At 36.2% G+C, this 10,752-nt stretch overlaps 1 long non-coding RNA gene across 1 annotated transcript in view, besides 1 other annotated feature; it reads left to right on the top strand.

The window, feature by feature from the left end:
• Positions 1-491: 491 nt before the first annotated feature.
• LINC01592 (long intergenic non-protein coding RNA 1592) overlaps positions 492-10,752 on the top strand; it is a 192,388-nt gene continuing 182,127 nt past the window's right edge. The window contains exon 1 of the long non-coding RNA NR_039986.1: positions 492-684. This is a non-coding gene — a long non-coding RNA (long intergenic non-protein coding RNA 1592). The remainder of the gene's footprint in view (positions 685-10,752) is intronic.
• Positions 7,595-7,764: an enhancer, noted in NCBI's record as "experimental_103601 CRE fragment used in MPRA reporter constructs". NCBI's record gives its function as "activates a minimal promoter by MPRAs in K562 erythroleukemia cells, with activity observed for the introgressed 8:70009238 variant allele {active_cell/tissue: K562}" and the evidence as "EXISTENCE:reporter gene assay evidence [ECO:0000049][PMID:34662402]".

Here is a 10,752-nt window from a genome sequence, read left to right as displayed (position 1 = left end):
ATAAAACCCAATTTTTGGCTGAGGCTCTAATAGCATGGGGGTGATATTAGATGAAAAATAGAGACGGAGGGAATGTAAACGTTAGTTTATTCAGTTCAACTGATTTTCTTCCTATTAAGGTGCATTCTGTTAGATAGTTTTCCTCCTACTTACTAAATAGTTAAGCCCTGACATCATAAAGAAAACTGCAATTCACATCACTAAGGCTAATGTCACCCAAAGATAACTTGCTATTTTAAATAACATGGAAACTGCATTGGGATGACAGATAAGTATAACAATCCATTTTATTTTTAACTGCTTTTGATGTGTTCCAGACTTTGAATATTCAGACAGAAGAATAATGGAAAAGTTATTTTTTCCCCTTAATCACACCTCCACACCCCAAACTACTATTCCTCCACACCCCAAACTACTATTCCTCCACCCTCACCTCTGAACTTTTTGAACAAAATTGATGGATCAAACTCTCCTTTTCTTGCCAGGAGAATAGTCCTGGACTGAGCTTCAGAAGATCTCAGATCACTGACGTTCTGTCTAGAAGAATACTCCAAGATATATTTCTAAGTAATATTCCTTCTCTTGTTGGGGGAAATTAGAGAAGATTTCTACCTGGTGCCATATCAACTCAAGGATGGAGTCAAATACTGAGAGGCTCTGTCATCTGTCTTTGGATCTCCTTCTGTGAGTATTTATGCTGAGGCTCCACAGTAGGACCACATTTCTGTAACAGACCAGCAGTGGGAAACCAGGACTAGACCCACAACTCATACTTTCCAGCTTGTTGTAACATCCTTTGAAATGTTCAGCATTGATCCCAAAAAAATCTTAGCCAGGATTTCCAAATAACATCATTGTTCAATACAAAATGTATGTATATTATTCTTCCAATGAATCTTTCTACAGGGCAAAAAGAAGCAATGGTCCACAATAGCCATTACTGCCTGTTCAAAGAACTTACATTAGCTATTTTAGGGTAGGCGTATTAGAAATACATTACCTTGGTTTTTCTTCTTAGAATATTTTGATTTTTCCTCATTCCTGAAGGATATTTTCTCCTGATGTAGAAGTCTTAGCTGACAATGTTTCTCTTTTTGTACTTGAAAGATATTGTACCCCTTCCTTTTGGCCTCCATGGTTTTAGATGAGAAATCTGTTGTCTTTTGTTCTGTAATAGGTAACATGTTGTTTCTCTCTGGGTGCTTTCAAGGTTTTTCTTTGTTTTTACATTTTGAAAATTTAATTGTGACGTATCTTGGCATATTTGTCTAAATTTGTCCTATTTGAAGTTAGCTAAATTTCCTGAAGTGTAAATCCTGAAGTGCCTACCAGCATTAACCAGTTTTCTACCTAAATGAATTATCATTCAAGAATTTACAAAAAAATAACAACCTTGTCATTCCCACTATTATAGATATTATAACCCTACTCAACCTATACTTTTATATATGCCTAATCTATTCTACTTCAGTCACATTATTCCCCATATCCAATAATGTAAAAATAAAGTGACAGTTTGAAAACACAAAGCCCATACTACTTCTCCCCCGGCTTACCATCCTCGCCATCTTCCTCCTACCAATCTCCCTACTTACCCTGCTTATCTTCTAGAAATTTAGGTTAAACAAGACCAAGAGCCTTCAAAGCCCTTAGTAAGTAGACTATACTTAATTTCTGAAAACCCAAGGACTGCAAAACTCTACTCTGCAAATTTGAGAACTTTTCAGTCATCATTTCATGGAATACTTTTTCAATAATGTTCTTTTTTTAAATCTCCTTCTGGGCCTTTGATAATATGCATGCTAGATCTTTTGGTATTGTTCACAGGTTCTTGATATTCTGTTAATTTTTTCTCAGTCTATTTTCTCTGTATAGTTAAGAGTGGAAAAATTCTATAGATCTGTTTTCAAATTCATTGATTCGATCTGTCATCTCCATTCTGTGATTAAACCCAATCATCAGGTTGTATTATTGTTATATTTTTTAGTTCTATAATTTCCATTTGGTTCTTTTTGTATAACTGTTGTTTGTCCACTCAGACTTTTTGTTTCTTAAATTTGTGTCAGGGGAATTTGTCATTGCCACATGAAATATTTTTGTAATTACTGCTTTAAAATCCTTATCACTTATTTCCAACATCTGATTCACTTGGGTGCTGCTGTCTGTTGTCTTTTCTCACTCAAGTTGTAATTTTCCTGTGAGTTTCTTACTGTATGCTGGACATTTTGGGTATTAGATTATGAAACTAAGGATTCTATTTATCCTTTTTTTTTTTTTTTGAAGCAATTGCCCTGTTGATGTGTAGTGTGAATGTGAGAGTCAGATGGATATTTATACTTAGCTTTACCCCTTTTTTGCTGCAGAAGTGGGTTAGAAATTTAGCTCACCACTAGTTTCTGATCACACCAGTGGTAAGTGGAGTGCTAACTGATCCTGCCTCCCACCACTTCGTTCTGCCTTATTGATACCTGATGAAGATGAAGGCTCAGCTTCCCACCATCCCCTGCTGACACCATGGTGGGGGAAAGTGGAGTAGTATGGTACTGTACCTCTTCATTCAGTCTTCTTGCTGCTGGATACACACAGGTGTTCAGCTCCCTCCTGAGTCTGCTGACGCCAGGAACGTTAACTAGTCCTGACTTGCAACACGTTTTCCAGTCTTCATGTTGAGTGGGGGCAGAGGTTCAGGTCCCTACATAGAAAGAGTGGTATCACCCAGTGGAGGAAAGGGTGCATCACTGCTTGTTTTCACAGGGTGGAGGGGTAAAGTGGAAGATTACTTCCTTGCTCATTTCCACTGAAACCATGGGGATTGAAGAAGGATTTTCTGTTAATGGTTGGATGTAGTTGGGCCAAAAATGTTTTCTGTTGATAGGTCACCTTTTCCTTACGCCTTGGCGAGAGGGAATAGAATACTCTAGAAATCTTGTGTGTTGTTTTGAGTGTCTGTTGGCAGTTTGCAGTTGAAGGCTTCTGCAGTGTTCTGTCTAGGATATATAGGAGGCAATTAGGAAAACTGAGGTGACTCACCACTGTGTTGCTCCTCAAGTCCTGAGGTCCCTAGGCAGTCTATTGTCTTTTCACTTTTCAATGTCTTTCTATACTTGTTTGTTGTAGTATATCTGGAGTTTTTATAATTTTTCAAGAGAGAACCTGGGAGGAGTGAAGTCTACTCCATCTTGGCTGGAATCAAAAGTCCCATTGTAGATTTTTTTTTACATATATACATATATAAAAAATTAGTGAAATCAATTCAATGCTAATAAGAGAACTTCATGTATTCTCCACATTTTAATGTAGACCTTATTATGTGTAATTCTGGAACAAAAGGACCAAAAATTTTACTAAGAAACTATTTCCTGTGCTATTTTGTAAATTTATAGGCACACAAATCGTTATTTATACCTGAAAGTCTTCTGCCATCTCCAGCTCAGTGGTTATTCCATAAATATATTACTTGTTTTTGTTGCGAATAAAGTTAGACCATACCATGAAAGAAATATTTCAATTCTTACTATAATTTGCAAATTGTTTTATGATAAAAACACAGTCTTCAGGCACCTCAGGGACCTGGGGCAGGAACAATGGACACTGGTGTACAATATATAAGAAGAAGTGAGGTGAAGGAAACAGGATAGACTCTTTGAGGTTCAGCTGGAATTGACGGTATTGGTGTGAATTCACAATTTTTATTATATATATATATAGATAAGTGGATATAGAAAAAGATGCACAGGTGAGTAAATTTGTAAGTGTGTATGTGGATATGTGTGTGTGTGTGTGTGTGTGTGTGTGTGTGTGTGTGGAGTGTGTTTCCTGGTTCTATCCTCTATTCTCTGAGACAGACTAGAAAGCAATGACACCACAGTAGCAATGAGCACACTGAGAAGCCAGATGTTGTTTTGTAAATATTATTTCGCCACAAAAGGAAACAGGGACTCCTGGAGAAACAACTGATCTCAGATTCAGAGCAAAAAAAAAAATGTACAAGAACCTTGAACACCTTTTTGTGTGAAAAAAATAGGAATTGCTTAAAGAATGATGTGGAAATACCAAGAAACCAGCTTAGGGGTGCTTTTATTAGCCAAATCTAGAAATAAATTAGCATTGTAAAAAGTATGATAGTAAAGGATTATAACCAATTGGAAAACTGGAATCTGTAAGTACATGCTGATCTGAGTGAAAGAATGAATAAGTGAAGGAAAAAACTCTATCTGAAGGTAGTATGCCAACTAATAAGAAATGATTGATTTTAAAAATGACTGGCTTTGGCTACCTCATGGTAACAACTGATTCAGACAAAAATTATGAAAACATACTCAAACCCTCTTGTGAGTGTTTGATAGGTAGTAGAATAATTAAATAGTTATAAAGTATCTTTTCCTTAAGTACTTATTAAAATATTTGAAATGCAAAAACATCATTAATTATTCTTAAATTGTAGAAATCTGGCAGACACTTGGCTAACCAAGCATAAAACCAACATCACATGCATCTATTGAAATAATATAATGAGAAGAATACAGGATTTTCTGGGGTGCTCCTGCCAAAAAATGCATAACCTGAATCTAGAAAATATCAAACAAACCCCAAATGAGGAATGTTCTACAAAGTAACTCATCTATATGCCTCAAAAAATGTTCAGATCATGAAATTCAGGGAAAAAATAAAACCCTGAGGAACTGTTACAATTTACGAGGTTAAAGGGATGCGACAACTAAATGACTGGATCCTGAACCAGAAGGGAAAGAGCTTATAAATAATACTATTGATGCAATCCACACAATCTGAATGGGGCCTATGAACTGGATGGTATTATTTTATTGGTGTTGATTTCCTCATGTTTATGATTATACTTTAATTATATAACAGCATGCTTTTGTGTGTGTAAAAATGTATACTAAAATACTTAGAGGTAATGGGGCATTATATCTCCAGCTTTTGAACAATTAAAAAATGAAAAAATGTATATATATATGCACACACATATGTATGTATAATGTATGCAAGGGGAGAGAAGAAGAGGGAAGAGATAGCAATGGAAGAGGTAGAGAGAGAGAGAGAGAGAGGGAAATATAGAAAAATTCTTATACCTGGGATATCTGCATGAAGAGTACGTAGGAGAAAGAATGTCTTCAGTTTAGGGCAGTGTCTCTTTTGATTTCCCGTACTGATTTTTCAGTTCTAATCCTTTGGTAATTGAACTTGGAAATGAATAAATCTGGATAGTAAGAGATTTTGTATTTGCTAAGATGATAGGATTTCATTAATAATGATTTGACTAAATAATGCTTACTAAAGAGGATTTAGGTTTGCATTCCTTTTTGCAAGCTAATGGTATAAATCATTTTAAATCATTATGGTGACTGGCTCTGGGCACATTGACCCCCTGTGAATTTGGTAGAGACATACAACCTTCTTTGACTAGTGAAATGTGAGCAGAAGTACCATGTTTCATTTTCAGGTGAAAGTTTTAAGAACCAGTGTATGAGTCATTATTTTTATTTCCCTTACTGACCAAGGAAGCACGTGTCATACTGAAATGAAGTTTCCTTCATCTTGGGACCTTGAGTAAGCTGAATTTAGAGCTTAGCTGACCAATGATTGATATCAAAGTCAATGATAAATTAAACTCTGATATTTTGGTGGCTGTTTGTTAAGGTCGTATAACCTAGTTGGTTATAATCACTGGCCTTGGCTGATCATCACTATATGACAGACACCATGCTTAGTGTTTACGTAGATTAGCTCACTGAATATAATCATCCATGAGGTCGATTTTATTGCCTCCATTTCACACGTGCAGAAAGTGAATCTCAGAGAGATTAAGTAACTTGACTAAGGTCACAAAGCTAAGCTGTGACAGGACTGGAAAAGATATCTTCAAACACAGAATAACATAAATTGTGAATCATGCTGTCTACTTGCATATAACCATTGGAATAACAGTGAGAAATAAATCACATCCAATCATTAGGCTAATTTGAATTGATAAGCTTTTCTTATCAGCTTTTGGCATGCTGACCTTGTGGTGGGGAACACTAGGGGTCCAGAAGAGTCAGAGATCTCTAAGTGAAAAATAGCTCACTTTTGAGCTTCTTCTATCTGTGTGACCTTGGATGATTTATTTAACCCTCTCAGTCTCTCTTTCCCATATACAAAATGGGGTGAAAAAATGTCAACCACAATGGACTACTCTGAGATGTAAATTAATTATATTTGAAAAATACTGCTAAATTAGTTCTCTTTTTTCTTCCCTCAAGTGACGGATTCTCTCTCTGTCTCTCTTTCTTTCTATATGATAACTGGTTTAGAAACATTCTATGATGCAGACAATTTGATAATTCACAAACCTCCCAGTTACTTCAAATTAATGAGAAGATCTCAAAAGTTAAAAAAAGAACAATTTTCATTAAACATTTTTTGTGGAACTTCATACATAAAAGATTACAGGATAAGAAATACACGGCTTTGTGATATAAGGAGTAGAATCGCAGGCTTTAAAATTCCAGTCATATAATTCCCTAAATCGTCTGGTTTGAAAATTTGGGCTATTCAGATTACCTCTGCCATGCACACATGAGTAGCTCTCCATTCTCTGGGAGGGTGGTCTTTTCCAGGAACTTTCAGTTGCAAACTATTACAGGAAAATCTATTCTCTGGCCAGTCCTCTGGTTCCCTATTTCCATTTGAGCGTGTTTGTCAGTCAATAAATTCCTGCCTTTTGCATGTCTCTCTATATATCTGGTGTTCTTCATTAAACAATGAAATACCCAAGGACTTTCCACTTTCTTGACTTCAGCTGAAACGTGTTTGGCAAGGCATGAACATAACTCAGCCTGCTCTTTATGGCTTAATGGGGAAAAGCCATTCCATGCCAATGTGAATTTCCTCACTGTTCTGTTATGCTCACTGACACCAGTGAGTGCTTTCTTCCTAAATAAGATGGAAATATTCTGATATTTCCAGACAATTACTTGATAGTACTTGGCTTTTGTTTATACATTTACCAATGATCCCACTGGAGGCTCCCTAATAGAAGTAGTGTTGGCCAAACTAAAAGAGCCCTTGGAATTCCAGTAACATAGGCTGCTTGCTTTTCCCCTTTCTTGTTTATTTTCAGTCTATAGTTTGATTAGGTTAAATTTCCTTTATTTAGACTTCAGCAAGAACAACTGACATAAAGAAAAGTAGGTTCCCTGAAACTTAATTTGAAGAGACAGTGAAGTAAATCACTGCCATAAAGATATCAGGTCACATAAACAGGCTTATTCATCCTGTGAACCAAATGGCCCTAGTGGAGCACTCCTTAATTCTAGCACTAGGACAAGTATGTGTCCACAGTTCAACTGGCACCCTGGAATTCAGAGGAGCTGTGGTGCTCTGATTTTCTGTTTGGCAAACTGTAGTCTCATTGTAAAATTAAGGTTTGGCAGCATGTTTGACATCAGATGGAAATATGTGCATTTAGTCAACTCGACACTTGCACAATACTGTTGAAAGTACTCTGAGTACATGACTTTGAACTTTTTCTGCAAGAACAAGAAGAAACTCAAATCAATGTGGTATGATAATGAGAGCTGTTTTCAAGATTCACTTGGTCCATCATTCGAGATGGCTCAGTATTTGTTCAAAAGTCTTCCAAAACAAGGATCGTTTTTGTATTTCTAGGGAAAATAAGTGGAGGAGGTAAAGTTTTTCTTATGGTCTCATGTACTTTTGTCACTAGGATACAGTCATGTAATCATCCATTTCTTTCTCTTCCTACTGCTATGACTTTTATTTAGTCACTCAATGTTTAATCATCAGTCTCCACCTGGACTAGTATAGTAACGTTTTCATAAGTCCCCACACTCTCCTGCATTTAAAATACTGCAGTTAGTTTACTATTCCCTAAGGAACAACTCCAATATCATGTACTCATCTGTGCAAACACTTTAATGGTTTACCACTGCCATCCCAGGAATAGTATACCCCTTCTACAATGTGATCTCAACCTTCATACTGAATCTATCATATTCCCCTTCAGGTACAAACACACATATACAGCATTTCCACACATGCCCATACTTCCTTGCATCATGTCTTTGCTGTTTACGTTCTTCAGGACTACCTTTCTCTATCTTTTTATGCTTAGATTGTACACAATTTTACCACTCACTGAAACTATTGCTCCCATATGAAGTCTTTCTTTATCCTAAGTGTTTTGCAATAAAAGAACCTTCTCTCCTATAATATATATCTATTCAAATTAATACGATTTTTTTCTTATAGCTATCTAAAAGGTATATTTTGTTGAAACTCTTCTTTGAGGAATTTTATTTGTAAGTTTTAGAGTTGTTTATAAAATATAGATATGGGTTTCATATAAAACTTTAGATGGGCACATATGTTATTGAGGTTCTATATATGGTTTAAAAGATTTAGTCTTTCAAATTACCTCCCTATGGAGTGAACATGACTAACTCTTCTTTTCCAATTATATAATTCTATTTTAAAGTGGCCTTTCCTCAATAAATCACATGTGAAAACCATTTAAAAGAAACCATTTGCTTATGAGCCCTTCACAAATATAACAGTGTGTGTATCATTTTTCTAGTCATGTATTCTTTCATTTTCTACCAAAGTTATTTATGTAAATGTCTTCTCCTTTACTAGTCTCTTAGTTTGTTGAAGAAAGGATGTATGTCCGATTCCTCTGCAGTTTCCTGAAATTCTGGATACATAATGTTACATAAATTGTGAGTAAAATAATGGCTCAATCAATCTTATAAGTCATTGCTGTCACCTTTCCAATTTAAAGTCTATGTAAAGCTTAGGTAGTTATATCATGCAAGACAAAAACTGTGCAAAACAAAAATGTTTTTGATGATAAAAAATGGATAACTCACATTGGTAAGTAATTTAGAAAATTCTATTTAGCTTCCACAATTTTAAATATAAGCAGGAAACACATTCCAAATTTCTCCATCTAGAAAGAAATCAAACTAATTCGGTAAATAAGTAATATTCTATTTTTTACAAGCCTCATTTTAAAATAAATTCAGTCATACGTTTGTAAGTAATTTTTCTGTGAATTTTGCTATCATATTACTTTATGGATAAGATTCTAATATAAACATACAAAATATTTGGAATGGTATTAATATTTTTGATTCCTCTGAGAGTAGGATATCTGTTAATTAAGTTCCTTCATGTAAAAAGGAATTTTAAACTCTGTCTTGAGGCATTATACAATTGCTATTGAGATTAAAAAGAAGTTACATGAGCCCACATTTTGATTGTCAAGGAAAGTGAGGAGCAGAAGGACATGAACAATTTTTTTTTGACGTTCTTCAGCCATTGCTTTCATTTTCTCCCACTTTTACTCCTCTGCCATTGCCATTTGCCAAACAGAGTTGCCTACATAGCAAAAAGAGAGAGGTTCTGTGATTTGTTGCACCTGTCTTCAAGATTTTGACCACTTTCTACTGGAGGTGCAGTAGGGTGCTATACAGGCCAGAAGGAGCTACCAGTATGTGGGGGAAACAATCAGGTTTATTTGAAATCCCCATGTTCTGACTATTAAGTTTCTAGGTCCTTCAAAGAAAGTACTGCCTAGCATAAATATAAGGCAAAAGATGATGTCAGCCACATTTTTCAATAGGACAGATTGATAACAAGCAAAGCTGTTTGCAAAAAGCAGAGGTAAAGCTCCTGCATATTTTATAAAATCTAGTACTGTTGGTCTTCTGGAGGTAGATTGAGATCCAAGATTGCCAAAGTCTTTATTTTATTCACCCTCACATAAGAATGAAAGAGGAGAGGGTCAGGAAATTATTGTTTCCAATGTGAAAGCATGAAATAAACAGCATGGACCAGAAATCACTGAGCTCATGTTTCACAGTTTAGTCAAGGAGCGAAAGGAGCAGCAACAGGAAACCTGCTTCAAAGGGTTCTCTTGGGGGGTGTGGGGTTGGGGACCAAGCTGTCAGGGCCATTTGGAATATTCTGGAATATTACTTGCTTTTGGTTTACATTAAAAGCTATATAGCGATGCCAGTGTTAGCGACAAGGTAATTGTCTAACATTTCTATGGATCTTCTCATCAACATTTTGAAACTCTTAGGGTATTTATGTTTTTTTTTGTTTTATTACTCTTTGGATGTTGTGTGGTCAATAACCTTGAATAGCCCAAAAATTCTGGGATATCTCTGGTAGCCAAGATTATAGGAATGAGGCAGCGGTCACTGTGTCAATTCCCACTGACACATGAGCGGGCTCTTTTGACCCCACCTCACCCCCCTCCACCACCAGGCTGGGTCACAGTGGCCGCTCTAACAGTTATCCGTGCTGCCAAGCCAAGTTTCTGACTTGCGGGAGGAGGGATGTGGAGGAAGTCCAGGAGAAGAACTGCTCAGGTGCTTCACTTCTGCTCCCTCTCTTCCGGCTCTATCTTTGCCTTAGTGATGGACTCAAAAGTCCCCAACCTTTATTAAAATTCTAGTTGCAAAACTTTGGTTTCTTTACCTTCTGATAATGGACTAAGATTGTCTGAGGTGGAGAAAGGATTGGGGAGAGCATGAATCAGAATGTTTTGTAAAAATCTCTCTCTCTTTCTCTCTCTCCTTCACCCCCTTCTAAATAGTTTACCACAAAAGATCTTTTAAAAAAGCAGCTGTGGGGCTTTGTTAAGTACACAGCTGGGACAAACCCAGTGGTCTTTGTTTTCTTGACAGTGAGATATTCCATGTTGCAATGCAGAACAAAGCA

The sequence above is a fragment of the Homo sapiens genome, chromosome 8 (assembly GCF_000001405.40).
Source record: "Homo sapiens chromosome 8, GRCh38.p14 Primary Assembly".
Classification (NCBI taxonomy): Eukaryota; Metazoa; Chordata; class Mammalia; order Primates; family Hominidae; genus Homo; species Homo sapiens.
Note: the sequence above shows the minus strand (reverse complement) of the source record. Positions and strands in the feature narration are given on the sequence as shown.